Raw genomic sequence first — 27,818 nt, forward strand, 5'->3', positions numbered from 1 at the left:
CATATAGATAAGGAGTTACAAATGATAACTTTGACAGCTTGCTCTTTAAACTTCAAATATTCTCAATTAAACAGAAATGACAGGTAAATCTTTAGTCCAAGATACAAATAATAATACATTAAATTTATTTGCAATACAATGTGTTCCCTAATATATTAACAAGTGATATAACTATTAAGGAAGTAGACATAGTTATTTCACCTTTTTTAGATAACTGAAGTATGGAGATGCTAAATACCTTACTAAAGTCACGGTCCTGTAACAGACCCCCGTAAATCTGACTGCAAAGTTTCCTTTCCTTACGAGTACACTATATTGCCTCTATTATATTACTCATTTATATACTCGTATTGTTCTTATTTTAATTTTTAAATAGTTAAAATTATATTTTTAAAATGAAATTCAATAGATTTCACTAACCACTGTTGGAAAACCAATAGTCTATGGATAATTATAATCCAAAACATGGAAGACACTTAGAAATCATTTGGGGCTGTTATATTAATAATTTAATTTATTTCTATTTAGTTTTCTAATAATAAAAACATTTATATTAAAAACAGATTCAAATCATCTCATTTAAAACAAATTCATTAAAGGGAACATATAACATAATTGGATATATCAACTTGTGTAGGAATAACTGATTCTAACACTCTATATGCTGAGTGACCAATTTAAAAAGCTCACACTTCCCCCAGGTGTAAATGTGAGAGCATTTCTGGGATACGGAGTCTTTAGCAACCCAATATGTGTCAGCAGTGACTCAGATATCTCAGAGAAAGAAGCTTTTTGAAATTTTCAGAAATGTGATAGACTAGTAAGAAATCAAGGAAGTCAGCTACATTAATTTTGAAGCACAATGTGTAGTTCTTAGTATGCGCTAAAGGTCTGTAGGTTAGAAAAATCTTACATGATTACTACAACTATAACGTGTCTAGATCAGTAAGATTGATTATAATAAAACATTTTTAAGTCTATGTTTTGCTACAGGGTAAAAAATTGCAATTTTTTGCTCAGGATATAAAATGTGCACAAAGCAAGTATTATCTCAAGTAAAGACTTATCTATCACTAGCACAGCTAAGTAAGTTGTGATCCCTGCTCAAGCACTCAGTCATGCAGCATATTTGGCCTTATTTTTTGAAGATGTATATCTGAGCATGTTACTCCCCAGTTCAAAATGCCTCTCTTGCTTCCATTACTTGTAGAGTAGGTCCAACTTTTCTTACCACCGCATTTCATGTCTTTCATGATTTATTATTTTCATTCAGCAATATTTATTAAGTGCCTGCTGAATGATAGGCACTGTACTAATTTGAGGACATACAAAGATGAATAAAACAAAAGTTCTGCCCTGAAGGGACTCACAGTCTAGTGGGAAAGACAGACAAAGCAACAGTTACAGGACAGAAAGTCTCTAATAGAAATATTCATATAGTGCTGGATGAGTAAAATTTGGCTTCAATCTTCCTTTCCATCTGCATTTTCCACCCCCTCCCCATATACACATGCCACTCCAGACCAGTTTACATTTACCAAACGTGATACCCACTTTTGGGGGCTTAGCTCATACTTTCTTTGTGTGAAATGCCCTTCCCTATGCCTGCTGAAATACTATTAGGACCAACTTCAGGTATCTCCAGAATATTGTTTCTGTTACCAGAGTTAATCATATCCACATATTTTCTCCCATAAAATCTCTAAAGGCAGTTTATCATAGTCTGCCTTGAAATCAGTTCATCTATTCCCTAGTACAGTGCTTGTGCTGAACAGACATTGAATATACTTTTCTACTGCTGAGTCTCTAAATAACAACTTTATTTCTAGTCTATTCTGTTTCCTTCAGTAAGATAAAAACAGTATGGCCCGGCATGGTGGCTCACATCTGTAATCCCAGCACTTTGGGAGGCTGAGGTGGGCAGGTCACCTGAGGTCAGGAGTTCAAGACCAGCCTGGCCAACATGGTGAAACCCCATCTCTACTAAAAATACAAAAATTAACCGGGCGTGTTGGCTCATGCCTGTAGTCCCAGCCACTTGGAAGGCTGAGGCATGAGAATCACTTGAACCCAGGAGGCAGAAGTTGCAGTGAGATCACGCCACTGCGCTCCAGCCTGGGCAACAGAGTGAGACTCGGTCTCAAAAAAAAAGAAAAAACAGTATATGGCCTATTTATTATTTTTGCAACTGGCCTGAAGTCTGGTCACAAATAAAATGAATTAGGATTATAAAATGAATATGAATGTTTCTAAAAACTGTTAAACAAAATGTAAACAGTGTATTAGGTACTACAGTATAATGGATACTGTTGGTTTTCTGCCCCAGGTGTAAATGTGAGAGCATTTCTGGGATACAGAGTCTTTACTATTTAGCAACTCAATATATGTGAGCAGTGACTCGGATATCTCAGAGAAAGAAGGTTTTTGAAATTTTCAGAAATGTGATAGACTAGTAAGAAATCAAGGAAGTATGTATATACTACATATATACTATATGTAGTATATATGGTCTATATGTGTATATATGATGTACATACGTAGTATATGTATACTACATACTATATGTTATATATACTACATATATACTACATACATACTATATGTATGTAATATATACTACATATATATACTACATGCATACTATATGTATGTATGTACTACATATATACTATATGTATGTAGTATATATGGTCTCAGGAGATCGAGACCATCTCCACTACTTCTTTCCTTAAAAGAAATCCTATTTTGTTCAGGAAGCCAAACTTAGGCTATACAATTCCCACAGAAAAAAATAATTTCCATTGAAGATGAACTCACATTTTAAAAAGTATGAGCAGGAAGAATTGGTCCACCATGAATGACAGTAGATGCAAGAGAAAGATGTGTTGGCAGCTCTAGAACTAATAGGGCTCTGTGAAAGACATTATAAAATAAATATGCTTTAATAGAATAAAGAAATAAAAGAAGTAATAGAAACTACAAAAAAAAAGAATAAGACAATGTGGGAAAAGAGGCTGATTTAAATAAGGGCCATATTGAACTTCTAGAATGAAAAAGTCATTAAAAATACAGTCAATGAAAAATATGAAAAAGTTTTGGAGAGTGGAATAAGAATGTTAAGCATATTTTCCAATAAGGACTCCAGAATGTGAGACTAGAGAAAATGAAAGATAATATTTAAAATACATAGATCATCAGATTGAGAAATTAGAAGTTTTAAACAGGATTATTAAAACTGAGTCCACACCCATAAAAATTACAGTGAAAGGATAAAATACCAGACAAAATGATAAAAGCAACCAGAGAATATATAAGGGAACAACAATTTGACCAACAGCAGACTTCTCAACAGCTACAACAAAGGCCAGAAGGCAGTGCAGTAGTGTAACATACTACATGCTAGACATTGTTCTAAGTATTCAGTATACATTAATGAAAAACAGATATAAATTTTGGCTTGCATGAAACTTAATTCTAGGTAAAGAAGAGAGAGATAAACATAATACAATAAGTATAGGGTATGTGAGAAAGAGATAAGTACTGTGGGGTGGAGGGAAAAACAGGGTAAGCAGAATTAAGAGTGCTAGTGAGAAAGGAGGTGTACTATTAAATAAGGGTCAAGGTATAAGGCTCATTGGGAATGTGACATATGAGCAAAGACTTGAAAGAGGTGAGGGAGTTAACCATGTAAAAATCTGAGGAAAGAACACTGCAAGCGGATGGAGCAGCCCATCCTGAGCCCAGAGTGCGTGTGTTGTGTTCAGGGAGTAGCAAGGAAGTGCATTTAGCTAGAACTCCATGATTGAGGAGTAAAGTAGTAGGAGGTAAAGTAAAAGAGGCAGCCCTCTCACTCCAACCCACCAAAATCTATATTTTTCAATACTCAATACTCACACAAACAAAAAAAACTTCGTAAGTCAACTCAGTGCCAGAGAATAAAGCATAATTAAAATTGGAAATACTTACGCACAAACACAAATGAAAATACCTAAATTTGTGGATTTCAGCCCCTATCAGTATTATAAGGAAATATCTAGGCCAGGCGCGGTGGCTCATGCCTGTAATCCCAGCACTTTGGGAGGCCGAGGTGGGCGGATCACGAGGTCAGGAGATCAAGACCATCCTGGCTAACACGGTGAAACCCCGTCTCTACTAAAAATACAAAAAAATTAGCCGGGCGTGGTGGCGGGCGCCTGTAGTCTCAGCTATGCAGGAGGCTGAGGCAGGAGAATGGTGTGAACCCGGGAGGCGGAGCTTGCGGTGAGCCGAGATCGCGCCACTGCACTCCAGCCTGGGCGACAGAGCAAAACTCCGTCTCAAAAAAAAAAAAAAAGGACATAACCACCAATTCAGTGGAGGTCTCAAAATTATAAGAGAATGACTCTAGGAAAATAAATTTGAAAACAAAATGTACAATTTTCTTGAAACATACAAATGTCTAAAAAGTGATTTAAGAGTAGTAGAAAACATGAAAAGAGTGATTATCATTAAAGAAATTCAGCCAGTAGCCAGAGTCCCCTTAAAAGAAAGAAAGAGGAAAAAAAGATGGTCGACTTTCAGAAGCAAGTTTTACCCAACTTCAGTGAACAAGTAACTTCTATGTTACATAAGCTATTTCAGAGAATGAAAAGGAAAGGTACCTAACTTCTCTTTCGAGGCTTATATAATTTTGACACCAACTAGACAAGAATAACATGAGAAAATTATAAACCAATCTCATTTATAAACATATATGCAGAAACCCTAAATTAAGCATTTTAAAATAATTCAGCAAAAAATATACACATATGCCTATATTTATACATATATATTCTTCAAATAGGTATTATTTCAGGAGACCATGAGAAAAGAAACTTATAAACTTTATAAACCAATCTCACTTATAAGCGTATAGGCAGAAATGCTAATTAAATATGTTCATATCGAATACAGCAAAAAAGTGCATATGTATATATACATACATATACATAAATTTTGATTATAGCAGGAATTTTTTTTTTTTTTTTTTTTTTGAGATGGAGTCTCACTCTGTCACCCAGGCTGGAGTACAATGGCATGATGTCGGCTCACTGCAACCTCCACCTCGCAGGTTCAAGCAATTTTCATGCCTCTGCCTCCCGAGTAGCTGGGATTACAGGCGCCTGCCACCACACCTGGCTAATTTTTGTATTTTTAGTAGAGGCAGTGTTTCACCATGTTGGCCAGGCTGGTCTCAATCTCGTGGCCTCAAGTGATCTGCCTGCCTTGGCCTCCCAAAGTGCTGGGATTACAGGCATGAGCCACTGCACACGGCGGATCATAGCAGGGATTTTTATGACCATTTCCACATGATGCTATGGTCAAACGCTGATAAAATATTTTGTTATTATGGTTATTTATGTGAATGTTCTATGATTCATTTTTCTTCTATCTTAAATCTTAGATATGTTAATTTTTAGTGTTAATATGTAGTGCTTAGGAAAGAAAAAGTGATCATTTTCTACTTCTATTGTAGCTCTTCCTTTCCTAACCTGAATGTCAGAGCTGTGCTCCATGAGTGTGGTAATATCGTGATTCTGTTTCATTGAACCATCTTTTCATCTTCCTTGGCTCCTGCAAGGCTAATAACTGCACAGCAAGAGCCTGTGGAGGGTACTTACAATTGGAGCAACAGCAACATCACCTGCTCCCCAGTAATGTGGATAACAGTCTCACTGAAGACCAAGGGGGAGAAAGCAGGGACAGACAACTCAGTTGAATGGGCTCTGTAGTTGACGTCTGTTTTTTCTGCCTAGCATTCATATCTTTCTTATGCACACAGTACCCAGATTTTGGTTGGGAGACTAACCTGCCCCTGTATTATGCTGAAGCGGACTTTATTGCAAAGCCCTAGAATTAAATCTCATGGGCTCTAAGCAGCAAGTTCCAGGATTTGGGTTTGAGCAAGTAGGATGCTGTCTTCCTCTTTCCCATGACACTCAGAGCTGCCGGCAACTAGGAGGGAAAAGTCTGCCAAAGAATGAAGCCAAATTTGGGAAACAAACCTGAGAAATGGATAAAGGAGAACTGGTTCCTAGTAACATGGGTTGAGGCCTGGATCAATGAGTGCCTGAAGCTGCCTGTGTACAAACTGTACAAAGCCACTGCTCACTCCAGTAGGCTGTCCCTTTGATACACTCGGTATTTTTACAAACCCTACTAAAACCCAGCCTGGCTCTCCTTTACGCTAGACTTACAGTGTGGAGGATGGAAAGGAGGTGGGATTTGGAGCAATCATGCTCTTTCTTCCTCTCTCCTGAAATTGCCTCTGGTGATCTCCTCCTTACCTAGTTCCCTGGGGCTAGGAAAGGACCCTGAGGAGGGAGCCTTGCTGCTAGAGATGAAGCTCATCATTAGCGGCAGCTCTAACTTTGCAGCAGGTGACTTCCCTTGTTTTAACTTCAGCACCCTCTGTGATCGCCCCATTTTCAGAAAAGTATAATGGAAGCATTTCACATATAAATAAAATTAAAAACTGAATGCTATCTTCCAGACACAGTGAGAATTAAGTTGCACAGACACTATTCAATAGATAATTCAATTATAGTAATTATCATTGTACAGTTCAGTAGTTTCACCTTAAAAAATATTGAACATAAGTAGTTACAAGTAAGCTGGAAGTAATTTAATATTAATAAAAAGCCCAGTATGTTAATAGGAATTATATTGTATTTTTAATCATATTGTTTTTTCTCTATGTATGTACAAGCTTCCACCTGATTTTAACCTATTCACACCATTAAGTAAATGTAATGGCCACCTTAACCACTAATTCTGGTTATGGTAAACATATAGAGTATATTCATTCCTCTAAAAATTACATATACTTTACTTTCACAGAATTACTTGTAATCCTTTACCCTAGGGCAGAAGACTCAGGGGGAAGGAGGGGAAGTATTAAAAAGAAGTAAAATATTATGCAAGATGGAAAGAAGTTTTACTTTGGGGAGCCTGTGGGACTGTTCTTTTAAGTAGACCTAGTTATGATTGGAATTTGTTTGACTTTGCATTAATCACCTGCAGCTACTGCTACCTAGGCAAGCCCCAGTTATAAATTAATGATGAGATCTGCAGAGGGAGTAGATGGAGATTCCTGAATATACACTGAATGGAGCAGCATGCCCTGAGGAGTAGTCTGAGGAAAGCTGCCATTTGGGCAGACAGCATCGATATTTAATTTGAGGTTGTTTGTTTTTGAGACAGATCTCGCTATGTTGCCCAGGCTGCTCTAGAACTCCTGGGGTCAAGTGGTTCTCTTCTGTCAGCCTCCCAAGTAGCTGAAATTATAGGCGAATGCCCCCCCCCTTTTTTTTTTTTTTAACTACAGTGGTTCTGTTTACATAGCTATTCTTTACTGCTTTTCTTGTACTGAGTGATCTCTTTGGACTGCCACAACTCTACCAACATTGAATTGACAGTTACACTAATGCCAGTGGAAGGGACATGAGATTAGCACTTTTTCTAGGGCATAAATTCATAATGAACTCTTCTAGATAATAGTTTCTTGTGTTATGTAAACACCACTATATTTCAGCAGGGCTTACTAAAATAGAATGTGATCAACAAGGATCTTAATGCTCTTGCTTTTTGTTTGGATTTGAAGATAACGATTTTCACAGCAGTGAAGTGGGGAGTGTTTTCCTTAAGATTGAGAAAGGCCTTTCCATCGCTTTCTTTGGGCATCGCTTTGTTTCTCAAAAGTGGCAGTATGACTTCTGTGTATAAACAACTATTAGGTTCACATCTTATCTGACAGTAGGTTAATGTGAAAAATACTATATTGTGAAAAATGTATCTCACAATATTCTAACAGATGCTGCTAGTATTATAGCCTAATGTAACAAATGCACCAAATGTGCTCAAGCATGTTTTTGACACTATTTTCATAAGTGATGATATATCCTAATTGAAACTTACTAAAATTGTTTTCTCCAACTGTCATGAAAACATACCAAACTATGTGTTTTGTGTACCCATGACTTAAGAATATAAAATGTGTATTCCTTTTGGCTTCCACTCTGTAGTCTACAGTTAAAAATAGGAGATTTTACCCTTCTGTATATTAGTCCAACAAGTTTGTTCAGGCTCCAGGTATGTATTAATTCTCCTTCATTACTTCTACAGCCAGTAGTAGGTTTAAACTCCAGGATTCTTTAAAACATTTTAAAAAATTTTAACTACATTGTTATAGGGAATACTGTTAGTGTCTTTTTTTTCTTTTCTTTTTAATTCATGGATTGGATCTCTTTGGGAATCTTCAAAGAAAGTTCTGTATATTTATTTTTATCGTTGTATATTCATTTGTGTATACTGTGTCTTTTCATCATGTAATTCTTTTCTTAAATCTTCTTTCTTGCAAAACCCAACACACATTAGAAAAGGGTAAAAAATGCAAGTGTGCAACCCATTTATCACAAAGCAAAACCCATGTAATTACCATCCAGGTCAAGGAATGAAAGAAACATTGTCTCACTAACCCCAGAAACTCCCATCCTGCCCTTCCCAATCACTGTTCTTCTCTCCCACCTCCAGAGTTAACTACAATTTTTACTTTATGTGAATTACTTTTTTGCTTTTCTTTATAATGTTACCACCTATTAATACATCGGGAACATAATGGTTTAGTTCTGCTTGGTTTGAGGTTTTGGTTTTTGGGTTGTTTGATTTTTTTGTTTGTTTTTTTTACTTTACATAAATGGAATTATGCAGCTGGTATCCTTTTGGGCCCAACATGTTTTACTTAAAATCACATTTGTAAATGTTATAATTGGTTTTCATTGCTGTATAGTATGCCATTGTATGAACTCAGTACAAACTATCCATTCTATTGCTTGGATCCAATATGAGTAATGCTGCTATGGACATTCTTTCATATGTCTCTTGATAAACACTGCACTTATTTCTGATGGGTATATATGTAGGGGTGGAACTGCCAGATCATAGGGTATGTGTATTTATAACATTTAAAACATTGGTATCACTCCACATTTCTACAAGAGAACTATGATAGTTCCCAGTGCTTTGTCCTCACCACATTTGGTATTCTTTTAGCTCATCTGTTTGTTGTGTAGCGTTACCTCATAGTTTTCATTTCCATTCCCCTGATTACTAATGAAGTCAAACAATTCAAAGAAACCTGCCGATATTTTTATTGGAATTGAATTTAATCTATGGATTAATTTGGAAAGAATGTTACAAAATTGAGCTAATACAGTAACAGTTTATATAGTACTTTTTGGTTTCTCCCAATAATGTTCATAGTTTTCTGTATAGAGGCCTTGCATATCATTTGTTACATTTATTCCTACATATTTTATATTTAAATGCCATAATAAATGATATTTTAATAAATTTTATTTTCTGTTTGCTTCTGATATATAGTAATGTATGGATTTCTAAATTTTACCTCTGTATACAACTGCAGTTCATCTGTAGATTTGTTCCTGTGTACATAATTATGTAATCTGCACATAAGGGCTTTTTAAAAAAATCTAGTCCCCTTCCAAATCATTATACTTTTTATTTCATTTTATTGTCTTTAGTAAGGCTAGGATCTTCACTAGCTGGTATCTCCACTACAGTGTTGACTAAAAGTAGTAATAGTTGGCAATTTCAAAGGGGAAACATTAACATTTTTTGCTATTAAGTACGATGTTGCATGTTGCTAGATTTGGTTTGCTGATGTATATTTAGGATTTTTTCATCTAGATTCATGAATGAGAAAATCTTGTAATTTTTCTTTTTTATAATGCCCTTATTAGATTTTGGTTTTAATATTTTGCTAAATTCTTAAAGGAAGTTGAGGAGTGGTTTCTCTTTCTCTAATATCTGAAAGAGTTTGTGTAAAACTAGCATTATTAATTAGAATTCACTAGTGAAGCCATCTAGGCCAAAGTTTCTTATTTTTGTTTTGTATGTGTATTTTGGAAAGGCTTTTAATTACAAATTCAATTTCTTTAGTAAGACTGTTTCTGAACAGTCTTCCAGCATCTCTTCTGGTTGGTAATAACTTTCTAGAAAGATGTCTATTTCAGAGGTCTCCAACCCCCCGGCCACAGACCAGTACCAGTCCATGGCCTGTTAGGAATGGGCGCCGCACAGCAGGAGGTGAGCAGCAGTGGGCTAGCGAACATTACAGCCTGAGCTCGGCCTCCTGTCAGATCAGTGGCAGCATTAGATTACCCTCTACATCCTGTCCATGGAAAAATTGTCTTCCAGGAAACTGGTCGCTGGTGCCAAAAAGGTTGGAGATCGCTGGTATATTTCATTCAAATTTCAAATTTACTAGAAGAAACAACTTTCTTCTAGTATCCTATCCTATTATTTTTTCATGGTCTCTAGAATATGTAGTGATGTCTCCTTTTTCATTCCTGATCATTGTTATTCGTCCCTTTTTTCTTAATTGGACTCTCCAGAAATTTATTCATTTTATTAGTCTTTCAAATCACTTATTTTTATTATCATTTAGTTACCTATGGGTTACTAAAAGTATACCTTTAATTTCCAAAAAATATAGATATTTTATTCTCCTCTAGAACAGAGTTTGGTTTTCTAATCAATCAAAAAACATTATGAATAATTTTCATCATTTGAAATTATTATTTGCTTTAATTTAAAAATTCTGTGTACTTGGGAAAATTATATTTTGTAGTTATTAGGTATAATATTCTGCATATGACCATTAGGTCAATTTTGCTTATTGTGATATTCAAGTCTTCTACATCCTTATGGTACTTATTTGTCCACCCATTTGGTCAGTTACTGAATTTGGTCAGTTAATGAGGGAAGTGTGCTTATGTACCCAGTGATTATGGATGTCTGTGTTTCTCTTTCTAGTTCTGGCCATTTTTGCTTTCTGTATTTTGAGTCCATGTTATTAAATGCATCCAAATTTGGGATTATTTTAGTTTTTAGTAATTTCAATGTTTTATCATCATTTTGTATACTTCTTCAATCTCTAGTGGTGATTATTGCCTTAAAGCCAACCCTGACTGATACTAATGTAACTACATCAATTTGTTTGATTATTTTTTACATGATTAATTTTTCCCATGTTTTTCAACTTTTCTATATCTCTGTGTTTTAGATGTTGGCTTATAAATAGCAGGTAGTTTTGTTTTGTTTATTTAAAGGCACAGTTAGGACATTTGATGTATTGAGTCTAAATCTTTGTCAGTCTTTTAAGGTTGATAATCTTTAAACAATAATTTCTCATATTCAAAAAACAGTTTATTAGCATCTATAAGTTTAAGCAACATTGCTCTTATTTCCTTATAAATATGCAGGGATTTATGAAATCTTCTCATTTCCTATTACTTCTTTGGCTTTTACATAATGAAAAGAAATCCAGGGGCTAAAATATGCTAAGGACAATAATTCTAATCTGGTGTTTGGTTTGCAACTCATCTTTATTGTGATTTACCTACCTAATCCAAATAAACATGGCATAACAATATATCTCTTAATATATCTCTCTTGCAAAATACTATAAAAATGTTATTATTGATTACAGGGCTGTGACTCCCAAATGAGCGTGTCAGAAATGTCGTGTAGTGAAAGTACATCCTCATGTCAGTCTCTTGAACATGGCTCAGTTCCAGAAATTCTTATTGGCCTGCTTTATAATGCCACAACTGGAAGACTATCAGCAGAAGTGATAAAAGGCAGCCACTTCAAAAATTTGGCAGCAAACAGACCACCCAGTGAGTGAAAAATAATTTTTTTAATTCTAATGTTTTCTGCACTTTTGGGACTCTCAGTATTAGGGAGTTCAATCCTATCATTTAGTCTTAACCAATCAAAATGAAATGGTGTAATCATCAGCTAATCTGTTTCATGTTTTCTATTTCCAGTCATTTGGGAAGTAGAAAAATTTGAAATTCAAAGTATTCATAGTAAGGTGACAACTTTTAATTTTTCATAGTATCTGCAAAATAAATTATCTCTATCATAGCCATTATCTTTTAATGCCAGAAAAGGTTACAGGGCCTTTAAAAGTGAGTAATGTTCACAAATATGAACAGGAATGTATATAGCTATTGTTGTTAACTGAAGAGTAATGTGTTTTGTATCTGCATGCAGTACTATGAACTATTTTATTTACTTCTATATTTTCCTTCTTTCTCCCTTAACGATTTAAGAAGAAACTATTACTTCACTTTTTTTTTTCTTCTTTAAAATTATAAGCCAGTACTGCCAGCAGAGACTTTTCTTAGATGGAATGGGCTTTGCTCTTACCAGGACAAACAGAATAAGGAACAGTTTGCTGTTTACCCTGGATGCTAAGAAGGGAAAGCTAGATAGCATACCTCTGCCCTGACTATATGCGTGTTATGTCTGTTACTCTTCTCTCTCTGGATCTCTCTCCCAGTTCAACAAGGCCAGGGTAGGTTATGGGAGGATATTGAAATTGTCACCCAATATACCTCTAAAATGTTGGTACCTAAAAGAGGTAAACTGGGAAAGTGGCAGCTTCTTTTTTTTTTTTTTTTTTTTTTTTTTTTGGAGACAGTTTTGTTCTTATCGCCTAGGCTGGAGTGCAATAGCATGATCTCGGCTCACTGAAACCTCCGCCTCCAGGTTCAAGTGATCCTCCTGCCTCAGCCTCCTGAGTAGCTGGGACTACAGGCACCCACCACCACACCTAGCTATTATTTTGTATTTTTAGTAGAGGTGGGTTTTCACCATGTTGATCAAGCTGGTCGCAAGCTCCTGACCTCAGGTGATCCATCCACTTCGGCCTCCCAAAGTGCTGGGATTACAGGCGTGAGCCACTGCGCCTGGCCCAGCTTCTTTATACTTACCTAAAATTAAAGCTGTTAATGCCGTAAACTAAAAATTTGAAACGAAATCTGAAATAATAATGCCACTTTAAATTTTCTTAAAGAATTCTCACAGACTTACTTAATGCCATGTTTTATTCCAAGAAGCAAGTAATTATTATAGGAGGGGGTCCAGGCGCAGTACCTCATGCCTGTAATTCCAGCACTTTAGGAGGCTGAGGCGGGAGGATCACTTGATCCCAGGATTTCAAGACCAGCCTGGGCAACAAAGTGAGACCCTGACTCTACAAAAAATTTAAAAATTAGTCAGGCATGGTGGCTTGAGACTGTAGTGCCAGCTACTCAGGAGGGTGAGGTGGAAGGATCGCTTGAGCCAGGGAGATCAAGGCTGCAGGGAGCCAAGATTGCACCACCGCACTCCAGCCTGGGTGACAGAGCAAGACCCTGTCTTAAAAAAAAAAAAAATTGGCCAGGTGCAGTGGCTCACAAGGGCCTGTAATCCCAGCACTTTAGGAGGCCGAGGCGGGTGGATCACGAGGTCAGGAGATCGAGACCATCTTGGCCAACATGGTGAAACCCCATCTCTACTAAAATACAAAAAATTAACTGGGCATGGTGGCGCGTGCCTGTAATCCCAGCTACTTGGGAGGCTGAGGCAAGAGAATCACTTGAACCCAGGTGGCGGAGGTTGCAGTGAGCTGAGATTGCGCCACTGCACTCCAGCCTGGTGGCAGAGCAAGGCTCCATCTAAAAAAATAAAAATAAAAATAAATAATAATATTTATTAATTAAAATTAAAAAATAAAGGAGGGGTAACTTTTTTATCCTTGAATTTAACTCTTTCTAGTTGTCGTAAAAATTATTTATTCAATGGAAGTAAAAAGTTACTATAATATATTGGGTTTGCCCCAAATAACATTGGAAAGCTTGCTTCTTACATGTATCACAGAAGGTGTCTATCCCTGACTTAAAAGTCTGAAGGCTTAAATTCATATTTCTACCCTTGGACAGTTGACCTCACTCCCCTAAGTCTGTTTCTTTATAGGTAAAATTAAGGTCATGTCTCTCACAGGGCAAGTGTGAGACTCAAATCAGATAAAGGTGCATAAAAGAAGGATGGAATTATTATTGTTCCCTTTCTCATTTCAGAAGGAGAAATTGAGTGGGAGAAAAGAAGCAATTTCTAGAATAAACAGATTTGGTAGTGTGACTTGATCATCTTCATTAGTATAGACTTAGAATGCAAACTCAAAAGGCCTGGGGGATAACTGAAATGAGTAAAACTCATAGGTGAAAGTTGGGGAGATGGTGAGGCCTGTGACAAACATAAGAGTGCACACCCTGCCAGAAGACTTTCAGATTCACAGATTGTTAGCACTGTGTTGGATAAATAGAACATTGTTTAGGGTCACATTGAGCCCCCAGTTATCAGTTTGCCACTCATGCTTTAGCTAATAATTTACTACATTTTTTTGACAAATATTTAGCTGGAGATGCTAAAAAATAGAATGAAATGATATGTTTGCCTTTCTATCCTTACTGTAGTCACTCTGATAGAAACAGAGCAACAAGGATCACAACTAAAAGGGAGGTCTGGCCAAGCGCAGGGTTGGATAATAAACAGATGACAAAAGATTCACATCCGCAACACAGAGTCGATGTTTCAGGTTACAGAATAGGTATAGCAATTGCCATTATTTTACCATTAGATAGATCTTCAGTATAAGGATAATTCATGGTGTTAGGTGGGAGGTAACTAGAAAGTAAGTATAAGTCAATTTAATTTTATGAAAGTGAAATATTTATAAAGTAAAAGGTAAAACAGTTTTATCAGTTTGTCCTAAATAGTATATATTATATAAGATTATAGCCCCTCATATATACCTAGGTTCTAAGCTTTGAACTATGTTATAGACTGAATAATCCCCATTTTTCCAAAGAAAGAGCAATATTCAAGAGCAAAAAGTTCAATAGTCCTATTTTGTTTTGCATAATTAATTTGTATATATTGGGAATAATAAAAGTATTTGAAATATTAAATTGATACATTTTAAATTTAGCAATAATAGTAAGCATAATAATAATTCTGATGATCTTTATAATTATTCAGTCTTTTATAGTCTGATAATATGCATGATTCTATGTTCAATGTGCTTTAGACCAAGAAGATATCATTAAAAAGATGTCCCCCTTTAAAAAAATGTAATTTTTGTTTAAGATTACACAATAACCTTAAAAATTCTCATCCCATTAAATTTACCCAACATCCTTTTTGTTCAATCCTCTATCTGAATTAAAATGCTAAAGTTTTGTGTTCTTCCACTCCAGTGAACAGTGTTTCCTCTTTAATTCTAACCTTTGACCCTCTTTCACCCAACGATTGACATCTGGTCATTATTTCTTTTACTGCTTTCCACCCCCTGTTGTCAGATGGACTGTTCTGTTGTCTAAAACACTTGATAGGTGGACAGGTTTATATAATCCGAGGTGAGTTCCTGTAGAGGCTAATTGGATGTTGTCTTTTCATGCAAAACCAAAATACCCTAAAACTTGCCAGCAGTGAAGCTGTCCACCATGTTGGTTTCCAAAACAATGCACATTTATTATCTGTGGTACTTTAAATAAAACTAACTTAGAATTTATCTCTGATTATGGATGATGGTATTCAGAGCATATATGAAATAAGCAAAACTTTTTAAAATAAAAATTTTTATTTTTTCATTCATTTGTACTTTGATTCATACAACAGAAATAGATATTTCCTGATAAATATTGCAATTTTCTTTAAAATTAATTGAAATTTTGATATGAAGTACACATGATGGATCAACATGCTGAAGATCATTTGCATGAGTCTAAAAAACTTGAAAACAGTCTTATAAAGAAAGGATTTGTCTCCCAAATAATCAGGCAATGAACTGTTATGTTTCACTTCGTACACTAAACATCACATCAATTTTTTTGTAATTCATAAAAATAGTTCAGATATCATTCTTAAAATTTTACATTAAATTTGTGCCAAAAAACAATCCTATAGTATTTTAACTATCCTGAAAGCACATTAAATGTACTCTTGCATGAAACCAGGAGAAAGTTTTACTTGGTTTGCTAAACTTTGAACCTTTAATGCATTTGGCTTCATTTTTGCCCTTAAATGTTTTTAAAGTATATTTAAAAACCACATCCATGCAGAGATTTTTTTTGACATTTCATCCTAAGCTGTTTTGATGTCATCTTTGCATTCTTGTCTTCCTCTTTTCTCTTCACCATTTGCCTTCATTTCTATTTGTTTGTTTATTCTTATTCTCTGAAAACAGTGGAATGCTTTACAGTGTTGTGGCTAATTGAGCTTGCTAAGTGTTTATTAATGCTATGATGTCCTGCTTAGTGAAGCTAAATGGGAATGGGAACGGGCAGGGGAGGGTAGTGGGAGGTCAAGGATGGGGTGGGAGGGTGAAGGAAGGATTATGAGGTATACCTTTAAATTCTAACTATTACATAGAAATAGTAAGGTTAAGATATTATTACTACCAAAATATTTTTGGCCTATTTAGGATTCTCTGTATTTGTCACATATTATAAGCATCTACATCAAAATGGAATTGGTCGAATGTCCATTAAACATGGTATACACCATATCCTTATAAAGTATAAATACTTAATTTTCTTAGCCTATAAAAAATTGTTTTGAGTTTGTTTCAAATGATATTTGTGATACGTTGTCTTTTTCTTCTTTAGATACATATGTTAAGTTAACTCTACTGAATTCCATGGGTCAAGAGATGTCCAAATGCAAGACATCCATCCGCAGAGGGCAGCCAAATCCAGTATATAAGGAAACTTTTGTCTTTCAAGTGGCCCTATTTCAGCTTTCTGATGTGACACTCATACTGTCTGTGTATAACAAACGCAGCATGAAAAGAAAAGAGATGATAGGCTGGATTTCTTTAGGTCTCAACAGCTCTGGAGAAGAAGAACTCAATCACTGGACTGAAATGAAAGAGTCAAAAGGACAGCAAGTATGTAGATGGCATGCGTTGCTAGAGTCATGATGAATAGAATAAGCAAGCAGTTACCATCAAAGGCAGCATATTTCCAATTCCAACATTACTGTTTCTACCAAGTCCCATTAGAAGAGCTGTTCTTTGAAGAATCATATTCAACCTTCTACCAAAATGCTTTAAGTTCTATGGAAAGAACGTCTCATACTGACATAAATGAAGAAAATATGTGTATCTAGTAGAGCTTGTTTAGGAAACTGAGAAACGTACACTATCATTGCTAAACTAACAGTCCTCCAGAAATTTAATAAGATGTTTTTGATTTGAAGTTAATTTTAATTTAGCAAAAGAGCCAGTCATTTTATGAAAAATCAAAATTATAAGTGATTTTAAAAACCAGAATTTTAGTTGCAATACAATTTTAATATCACCCTACATATTATTTATAAAACATAGTTTGACTGGCCAGTCCCTGGTGTTTGTAATGTTCTTTAATATGAAAAAGTAGTTCTCCAACTCTATCATAAGTCATATCTAATGGTGAAGGGTTTCAGTCACATTGAAAATTGTTTTATTTCAGGCATGTTCCCTTTGTGCACTTAGGTTCATTGTGCCTCAGTTCCTCTCAAAAGCACTAAATCTAAGTGCAAACAAGTATTCATTTTCATACAGGAATTTTTTTAATATGTTATTTTTTTAAAAGTTCATTTTTCATTTGCCTCCGCTTTCGCCTGATCCAAAGAGACCAAGTCACTGTACTGGTCCCTTGCAAGTCTTCTAGACAGGTTGTACTGTAGAACTACGTAACTTTCTGTTGAAAGCACTTCCTGTATTCTTGTATTCCAATGTAGGAAGCTAATAGAGCAGGACTTTACTTTCAAATTTCTTTCAGTGATTGACTCTTCAAAATTGCAGTAGTGTGAAAATACATTTTTTACAAACTGAAAATACAGTAGATAAGCTGTCGAAAATGGAAAACAATTCAATTTTAATTTTCTGCTCTGAGTATTTAGTAACCAACACTGCGTAAAGCAGGTAGCATTCAAAATAAGAAACTGTTCTCTCTCTAAATCTTCACTCTTACTTCAATTTATATTTGTGATATGAAGACTATCCAGTTCTCAGTTTGAATTGGAACATCATGTTAAAAACAGTTATGAGATTCCTTATGAAGTTTCTAGTAACTTGTAACTAGACTTTATGAAATTAACAGATAAAGTTCTTCAACGTGATGTCATCTTGTGCCTTTCATGTAAGTTAAATTTGCTCATACAGCTTGAACGTTGTATTTGCAAAATTAAGCCTTCGATTTTTATAAATGTAAAGATTCCTCAGAACAGTGTCGCAAGATCTTTATTTCCTCTGAAGTATGTAAAAGTTGTATAATGTGCTAACTTTTTAATGGCAAGGCACTTTCATTTGTTTTTATATTTAGGAACTCTAATCAGGAATATTATAAGCTGTTTTCTTTTTAATTTTGCTTCTTACCTAATATATCATTTTATGCATATACTTTATCAGAGTATGTTTTATATATATTAAAAATAGTTTCTTTTTTCTCCTTCTCATTTCTAGTTAAAATAGACAAAAACATACTATTTACCAGTTACTAAAAAGCAGTATATCATTGCTTCTAGTCCCAACTAAGTACTATATATTATTGTAAACTAGAACTTGTTATTACCATAATAACAAAACAATGCGTAGATATTACTTCAGCTTGGCTGTACTGAAAGGCCTTAAAAGAAACCCAAAAAGACCGTGAACTTCTGTATTTTTTTAGTTTAAAAAATGGCAGCTCTATGCATTCATACACATGAATTATAAGAAAAAATACAAATGCTATATTGGATGACATGAGGTTTGAGAATGTGTGTTACAGGGCTGCATTAAAGGGAAAAATCCATCTTTTATTGTTACATCAATGAGCTTTTTCCAGGATTTTTCAAATAAACAAGTAAGAGTTAGAACCTGAATCAAATGGCAAAATATCTCATTTAAGTGTTTTCAGCAACAGTATGAAAAAAGACTTGAAGAGGGGATGTAGATTTTACTGAGAAATTGGACTTAGGCATTTGAAGCTATAATGAACTTTTTAGACTTTGAAACAACTGACTGCATTGCTAACAACTGTTATCTTCCTAATAAAAAGAGTTATCAGTCTTATCTGTAACTGTAACAGAGCTTAGTGAAACACATTAGTAAGACCAGCTTGGTGCTTTCACTCTTAGTGAGAAAAAGACCTAACTAATTGTTATTTGTTAAATCTACCTTTTTTCAGACTATTCCCAGAATTGTGTGTGTGATTTGATACATCCCTAGGGATTTATCTGGCATAAGTATCAAATCCTTCATGGCTTAAAAATTAATAAACAGTTTTTTAATATTTCTGGAAAGACCCTACCTCCACCCCAGCTGCCAAGTCCTCAAAGATTATAAATTATCTATATGAGTGTATGTATCTGTATACACACATGCACCATTACACATACAACATAAATATGTATATGTATATTCATTTGTAAAGGCAAAGGTGCCCTGGCTTTTTCAGATAACTGAATAGAAAAACATTTCATACATTTAGGATTATTTTTCTCCTCTATGTATTTACTAGATATTATATTTGGTTTGGGTTGCTTTCTGCTGCTGTTCTCCTTCACACACAGCAAAATATACATTTGTTTCTGTAGATTGACACAACTTATAATAATTACTCCCAAAAAGTTGTCTGTTCTTTTAGAAAAGGATTAAATAAGGCTCAGGGGACCCACTTCACTCTACTGAATCTAATGTACGAGACAGTACTACTGCTTCTTTGTGTGCTTGAATTTGCATGAAAGCTTAATAGCAAAATCTTCTATCTCAGTAATTATAGCAAATAGGGACCTACTGGTAGGGAGCAGGTGTTGGCTCAGAAACCTGAAAAAGACAACCCACTTTCATACAGTTCTATTAAAATCCCCTAAGTTTTCTAATAAAATGATATAGTCCAAATATGGCAATCGACTGGCATTTATGGGAGCCTCTAAACCTGGAATTATGGGGTTTATTTTTCTCCCAAATGAGCTGCAAAAGATAATTATTGCTGCCCAGTAAACAAAATGTATGTCAAATCAGTAAAGAATTTGTTTAGCATAATATTGCCTTATCTTTCAGAAGCTTTCTTCTATATTCTTGTGTCTTCAGTACAATCCACTTTTGTTTGAAATCCATTTGCATATTATCTTACTGTGCATTTAGTGAATTCTCAATAATGTTGTATTTGCTGACAAGAATAATAAATTGGACCACAATTAAAAAAAAAGAAAACCCAATGAGAAAATAACTACCTGATTAATATACACATGTTTAAATGTAGGACCTGGTAAAGCAGTTTCATCCAACCTAGCGAAAATGCCCAGGGCTGTTTGTTAAATCATTTGCTTGATACCATCATCATTTTCATTTCACTTATCAAGTGAATCAGAAGCATAATCAATAACTGCAAAGTAAGATAGTACCAATAGGAGAAAGAGGTAAAAGAATTGAGAGTGTTTGTCAATATGAAGATGTGTGGGGATACTGAATGATATCATAGTCTTTCCAGTGAAAGAAAAAATAGGCTATGGGAAGATGTAAATTTTTGATGGAGTAAGAACAGTGGTCACCACCAAGTATTTTTCAAGATCCCTCTCCAGCTATGAATAGAAAGGACACAAATTCATTTGCGTAAAATTGCCATTTGCCTACATAGACTAGACAATTCACAGATTTTTCACAAAGACAGTTATTATATATATAGTTATTTGAGTTATCACTATATTATTTCACATTGATAGTTTTTATTTCTAATTTTGTTTCCATTCACTGTCCTCAGTTCCTCTGTGGCCTACATTGAAGGTAGCTGTCAGTATTATTATTGTCAACCATATTTAATATTGAATACAAGTTTAAGCATGCTGCAAAGCATTTTCTAACGTTAATTTTAAAACATTGTCTCTGCCCTCCAAAGTGATGGTTAACAGCTATAATTTACTAAGATCTAGCACAATAATTTATTACTTGCTTGATTCTCAAAACAATACTGTGAGGTAAGTAATGTTATCAACATTTTATTGATAAAGAAACTGCAGCATGAAGAGGTTAAGCAGACTTTCCCAAGGTCATTCGGTAAGTAAGTAGTAGAACTGGGATTGGAACCCAGGTGTAAATTACTCTAAAACCCATGCTATGCATGTTGCATTTGCCTCCCTGTTTGAAAAAAAAACTACTTAGGACATTATATTTATCAATAATCCCACTCACCTTGATTGAATGGCAGAACTAAGGGGGAAAAAACAGCTGGGGAAAGAGAAAAGACTAGAAAAGAAGATCAGAAATTTTTTTTCTTCTCAGGACACAAGTGGTGGTACTTTTGTGTCATTTTGTAGATGACTTTGATTTGCAAAGATTTGGAATTGATTTATTCTACCAGTTTAGCCTATACTTATATTCCAAAAGCATATTAATCAGTTCTGCTCCTTGACCACTTTTAGGAATCCAAGGTGTTTTAATTGTTACATGACCCCCTTACTACTCTATGAAGGGCATAACCTGTGTCTAGCCCATATCTCACTCATATCAGTGGTGAGACAAAAGATTTGTCTTCCTCTGTCCTCTCATTGCAATTTATTTATGTTTTATTCTCAATTTTATTAAGATTTGTCAGGAATTACAGCTAGTTTATTACATATGTCTCTCTTCCCCCTAGGTAAGTAGTCAATGCCTTGTTAGTATCTTTCTGTACCCCTTTGCTTATAGTAGGCAGACAGTAAATATTGAATTGAACTAAATTCCCTGTGGAAGAAGCCAGTCACACTATTACATGAGTCTTAGTTTTTATGAATCTTGTGTTATGTATGGATTTATTTATTCCTTCAGTTAATATATATTTAAGAGTACTAGATATGTGCCATGTGTTGTTGTTCCAAGTGCTACAGATGCAGAGATAATAAATTGGTCGAAGTCTTTGCCCTCATGGGGCCTACATTCTAAGGTAGGAAGATGGCCACAGAATGGGATAATTTCAGGCTAGTATAATGAAGCATTAAGATAGGGGCATGCATAGAGTACCGTGGGATTTAGTAGAAGAGTGCAACATGGAATTCAAAAAAATCTTCCTGGAAAAGATAATCCCTGAGTTGGGTCTTAAAGAACAAATACATGTTAGACTCCCATCAAACTTGAGGACACACGTTCTTTCCAAGAACAAAATGTAAAATAATGGTTTCTAAACTGTAGTATCCTTAAGAATTATTTTGAAAATTTAACTTGGGCCAGGCGTGGTGGCTTACGCCTGTAATCCCAACACTTTGGGAGGCTGAGGTAGGCAGATTACTTGAGCTCAGGAGTTTAAGACCAGCCTGGGCAACATAGCAAAACCCCATCTCTACCAAAAATTTAAAAATTAGCTGAGCACGGTGGTGCATGCCTGTGGTCCCAGCTACTCAGGAGGCTTAGGTGGGAGAATCGCTGGAGCCTGGCAAGTCAAGGCTGCAGTGAGCCAAGATAGCGCCACTGCACTTCAGCCTGGGTGACACAGAAGACCTTGTAGAAAGGGAGGAAGAAAGGAGGGAGAGAGAGAGGAAGGGAGGAGGAGAAGGGAAGGAAGGAGGAGACGGGAAAGAATGAAGGAGAAGGGAAAGAAGGGAGGGAAATTTAACTTGTATTCCAAAACTCCACCTCCAGAGATTCTACTTCATTTGGCCTGGAAGGGAGCCCAATAATCTACATTTTATTAAGCTCTCCAGGAAATTCTGTCTGAGATCTATTGATATAGAATATTAAGTGTATTACATAGTAGTATTCATGAAATGTTTCAGTGCCTGTAGATCAGACCTTTAAGTGTGATAGTGATAGTAATACAGAGATTAAGACTAGGATTAATGTTATTCATCTTTTTCTTGTGCTTCCTTAAAAAGGAAGATATTTAATGAAAAAAATTAATATTTAATAATGAATTTCTGTACATTCACATTCAACATACATTTTTCAAAGTGTTTCTTGGTATAATAAATATGTTGATTTTATGGCTTCCAAAAATTCCTTTCTATCACTGTTCAAATATTTCCTTCTAAGTTATCTTTACAATGATGGATATAAAGTGAAGAATGGGGAGGTATTTATCAAGTAATTTCTTTATCAGTATCCTAAATGAAATAAGACTGACCTTTGAGCAAATGTGTAGTAGCAGCCATAGGTGCTGGCATGTTTGCATTCTTGCATACAGTAAGATTTCTTGCTTCCCTTTATCATCATCTAAATGGCTTCATTGTCATCACACTCATCAGATGAAATGCAGTACTGGATTCTTCTCTAAAAGCAGTGATTCTGTGACTGCTGCTCTAAACTCTAGTTCCTTGATTGTTTTGTTCTTAGGATCCTTTGTTTCAAATAGCAAGTTAATACAGCAGCCTCAGGACCTTCTCTTTCTCTCAGAATAAATGCTGTGGATAAGGTACATCTGAGTTTCCATTTCCCCTCATTTCACATATAGCCATATTTTCTTCTCTGATGTAATATTTTGTATTAACACATTTTACATTTTGAAGTTTTCTTTTCCCCCACAAAGATATGTGGTTATCCCACTTAAAAATGAGCTTATTTGAATATGTGAAATAATGTTGTCATTGAATTAAGCTGTTTTGTGACTGCTGATGTATCACTGTGTTTGATTTGGTGACAGCTTGAGGTCTGGTTAATATAATCTTAAGGTAATCAGCTTGATAGACTGGAATTACTAGTTTATTATCAAAAAATGAATGTAAAAATATTGCTCTTTTCTCTCCCTGTTTAGACTAGTATGTGCCTTTTTAAAAATACTCCCTTTCTTCTTCCCTGCCTTTTTTCCCCACTCTTATTCATATACACTCAAACTAGATACCAGAGTTAGTTCATCAAAGCTGAATAATACCTATCAAAAAGTGATACCCTGACTTTTTTCTCTTAATCACCTGTACTGGACCATAGGGAGGACCAAATAGGCTTTCTTGGGGACTACAGAAAGAGCAAAGCGTAATACTCTTTAATCATAGCATGTTTGTTGTTGCTGTTTCGGTGGTGGTGGTGGTGGTGGTGGTGGTTGTGTACTTACCTTGAATAGTGTGAAGTATCCTAAAATTATGTTGTGTGGGCTGGGAGCAGGAAGGAAACTGATTATTCGTCTAACAAAGGTTTGGCATAATTTTATTGTAAAATTTCAACTGTTTATGACATGAAAATTTCTAATTAATTATAAGAACAAAGTCACTGTGGTGGCAATAGTTGTACAAGATGTTTGACATTATTTCTATGTCAGTTTGATAGTCTGTGTTATAAATTGTCTTATTAGGACCCTTCTTCACCCTCTTCTTTATTATTCTGATTATCAGTAAATCCAGTTTGTACTGTTAGACATTTGAGTTTGTCTTTTAAATATTGAAGACTATTTTAAAAAGAAAAACCATAACATCTTTCTGTTTATTACATTAACATGTGATCTCTCACCTGACGATGTGTTTAAAATGAATTAATAGATAAAATATAATACTCCGTTATATACTGAAAAAAATTTTCAAACTTTGTCTATATATTCAGATATTGCTAGCAGTTCATATTAAATATGACTATTTTGTTTAATGAGAAAATAGGAATTTTTCCTTATCTCTGAGACTTACTGCTTCTCTTTGCCATTCACATCTGGTTGAAGGTGGATGGTTTTGAACCTCGTAACGTCACTTCACTCGTCAGTTTCTGAGTGTGCCAACCTCCTTCTGACGGTTTAATTTTCAGTAACAATCAAACCATTTATTCCTCAGGGGTTGGTCCTCCTAGTGATTCCTGTCCTTAACCCCCATTAGTGTTGATGGAAGTAATCCATAAGCACCAATAGGAGAAAAGGCCCATAAAGGATCAGTATCCCAGAACCCTGAAATAGGACGGCCGCTTCAGTACCCAAATGTCATTGCAATTCTAATGGAGTAGAAGCCAGCTTCTTGGAAGTGAAGATTTGAGATCATTATGTCATATTCTCTCCTTTTGGTGTCCTCCCTTCTCCCTCTAGCTTGCACATTCTTTTTATTTTAAATTTTACAGGAAGCCTTCTTTTAAAAACCTGGTTTTTAAAATTTCACATGTTGCTGTAACCAGGTGATTTCAAAACCCAGAAAACTGAAGTACATACCATACAGTCATAAGAAGTTTGGGGGCTTTTTTGGTTTTTATGTTTTTGGTGTTTTTTTTTTTTTTTTTTTTTTTTTTTTTTGTAGTGTGGGGAGTGGGGAGGAGGAAAAGGGAGAAATCGTGCTTGTTTTGGTTTTGGGAAGTCTTTTTGGATAAATATTGAGAATATTTATAGTATTCTGTAATTATGTGACATTTGTTGTGTGAGGGGAGACCAGAGTAGCTGTTGCACATACATCGACTCTCTTAATATTGAAGCATATTTAAACAGTTGTTTGAAGCAGAGCTAGAAATTAATGGTGATACTTCTAACAGCATTTTGATGTTATAAATATTACTTTAAGTTTATCAAGAGAAAAATTCCAGTAGTAGCTTGCGTTATAAAATTAATTGATTTATTATGTTTCTGTATAATTTTATTGAAATTGCTTTTTTGTGGTGAATATAATATAGTGGCAACGATTTTGAGGAATCTTTAAAGCTGTTTGGAAGAGATGGCCAGCCTTTGGCTAGATTTTTACTAGAATTTTGAAATAAGAAAGTGTATAAATATGTTTTCAGTTAAATTAGCCTTGAGGAAGAATAGTTATTATATGAGTTTTAAGGGTCTTGATAAATGTTGGGACCTACTCTAAAACTCATGAGGTTCCTCACTGATCAATACTCTTGCATTGTATTTTATTTCTCAAAATAATGAAATTTTTATGGAAAAGCTCAATTAGTGGAATCTTTTATTCAATATTCCCTTACTCTTCTTTCTTCCTTCCTTCTTTCTTTCCTTTCTTCCTTCCCTCCCTCCTTCCTTCCTAGTTCTTTCATTTTTTCAGGCAAGAAGCTTCCTTAATAATATAGTTTCTACAGAGCTTTCTTACTTATTTTTCTAATAATGGATATAACAGTGTGATAAAGTTTAAATGCTCCGTGAGCAAAACTCTTATCAAACAACTGAAGAAATACACTGCTGATTAACCTTTTCCTTGGTCTTGAATTGTCTCCAGCATATTTGCTAGTGACTAAACCATTAATGGATCTTATTAGTATAAACACATGTCTGTGTGGTTATCAACAGTGTTGTATTATTGTCACATTTATTTACATTTTTGGTCAAAAATATAAACATGCGTGTGTGAAGCAGTCTGTTTTATAGAGTGAGCATATATGTAATCGTTTTCATATAATTGAAAATGTGCTGTGTGTTGCATTTTATTCTCATGTCGACTTTTCTACTATGTATACACCGATTGTCTCGGTGCCTTTTTCCTTTTGTATAATTGTATTACATACAGAAATTGCTGACCTCTGTGAAAACAGTGTAAAAAAAGTTAAAATTATTATTCCGATGAGATTTTAATGGCAGTTTAATTTTCCAGAGAATAAATTTTGTGTGGGTTAAAAGTTATTTTTCTTCACCTTTATGTAAAAAATCTGTTTACGTTTTAGTACTCACATGGAATGGGTAAACATCTGACTTCATTGATGATGATACATAAACATCAGTCCTAATTCTTGTCATTGACAAATAAATGTTAATATGACTGTTACACAAAATAAAATAATGTCAATTACATAAGGAAATATCAAATGGATATATGTACATGTTATTTAGATCTTGGGTTTGAAAGGAATCTCATCTAAATGTGCTATAAAATATTACTCTCAAAAGGTTTGGGTCATATTATTTTCTTTAATTGTAAGTCAAATCTGGCTTCCAAAGAAAATAGACTTACAAATGCAAACATTTAAAAATATTCTCCTTTAAAGTTCATATAAATCACAAATTAAACTAAATAGCTTTAAAATGATCTCAGTATCTTCAGCTGGAATATGAACTGTTACCTAGTTTGTTCTTTCACTTAATGTGAATTTGTTGTCATTCATATCAGTATTGCTATCCTGTTTAACAAAATAATTTTCTCTTTGCCAATAGTAGTTTGTTGATTTTTAATTCTTTTTCATTAGCTAGTTGTATTGTTTCCCTAAGACCTGGAGTTTAGATATTTTTCATATTTCATTACCTTGTCCATTTTACTTCCAGCAACAAAGATTTATAACAACAGACTTAACAAGTACTATTTTGCATATGAAAAAGAATTTAAACGTTTGGTGCTCTAAAACTGAAAGAAATTAAAGTTGCTGCATCATCTAATCTCTGATTGTCTTTGAATCCTTAGTTCCATAAATTATCCAGAGCCTTTTTTAGTTAACATTTTTAAAGAGGGGAATGCCAGTGCCCAATTGGTCTGGGTTTTTTTTTTTCCTTTTTGTAAAGTTGTCTCTACTGAAATATAATGAAAACATGAAACACTTCTTCTGCTCAGAATAAATGGGTTCATAATGTAATCTCCAGTCTACAATTTAAGGAATTTGTATCCTTTCCCAGTACTCACTGCTGAATTATTCCCCCGCTCTCAAACATTTTGAGCTTCTATTATTAAGACATTTAGGCTGGGCACAGTGGCTCATGCCTGTAATCCCAGCACTTTGGGAGGCTGAGACGGGCAGATCACAAGGTCAGGAGTTCAAGATCAGCCTGGCCAACATGGTGAAGCCCCATCTCTACTAAATAAACACAAAAAATTCATCGGGCGTGGTGGTGCATGCTTGTAGTCCCAGCTACTCTGGAGGCTGAGGCAGGAGAATCGCTTGAACCTGGCAGGCGGAGGTTGCAGTGAGCCAAGATCGCGCCACTGCACTGCAGCCTGGGTGACAAAGCAAGACTCTGTCTCAAAAAAAAAAAAAAAAAAAAAGACATTTAAGGTTAAAAAAGCCAAAAGTAACAGATTTGCTTGAGTGTTGACAAAATTTGTTTTCTGAATTGTAAGAAATGTCTTACTTAGGG

The 27,818-nt window shown here is 34.9% G+C and overlaps 1 protein-coding gene across 14 annotated transcripts in view, besides 1 other annotated feature; it reads left to right on the forward strand.

The window, feature by feature from the left end:
- Window positions 1–27,199, forward strand: part of SYT14 (synaptotagmin 14) — a 233,173-nt gene extending 205,974 nt beyond the window's left edge. For 7 of the 14 annotated variants that reach the window (NM_001146261.4, NM_001146262.4, XM_047417067.1 and 4 more), the window contains 3 exons: window positions 11,531–11,720; window positions 15,231–15,287; window positions 16,539–27,125. In NM_001146261.4, the coding sequence (NP_001139733.1) occupies window positions 11,531–11,720; window positions 15,231–15,287; window positions 16,539–16,852 (561 nt within the window). In that variant the 3' untranslated portion in view covers window positions 16,853–27,125. Of the gene's footprint in view, window positions 1–11,530; window positions 11,721–15,230; window positions 15,288–16,538 lie in introns of all 14 variants that reach the window. The other 7 variants (NM_001397545.1, NM_001256006.3, NM_001146264.4 and 4 more) reach the window with 2 other exon arrangements.
- Window positions 21,254–21,423: an enhancer, noted in NCBI's record as "experimental_2948 CRE fragment used in MPRA reporter constructs". NCBI's record gives its function as "activates a minimal promoter by MPRAs in K562 erythroleukemia cells, with activity observed for both the introgressed and non-introgressed 1:210338874 variant alleles {active_cell/tissue: K562}" and the evidence as "EXISTENCE:reporter gene assay evidence [ECO:0000049][PMID:34662402]".

This window comes from Homo sapiens, chromosome 1, assembly GCF_000001405.40.
Source record: "Homo sapiens chromosome 1, GRCh38.p14 Primary Assembly".
NCBI lineage: Eukaryota > Metazoa > Chordata > Mammalia > Primates > Hominidae > Homo > Homo sapiens.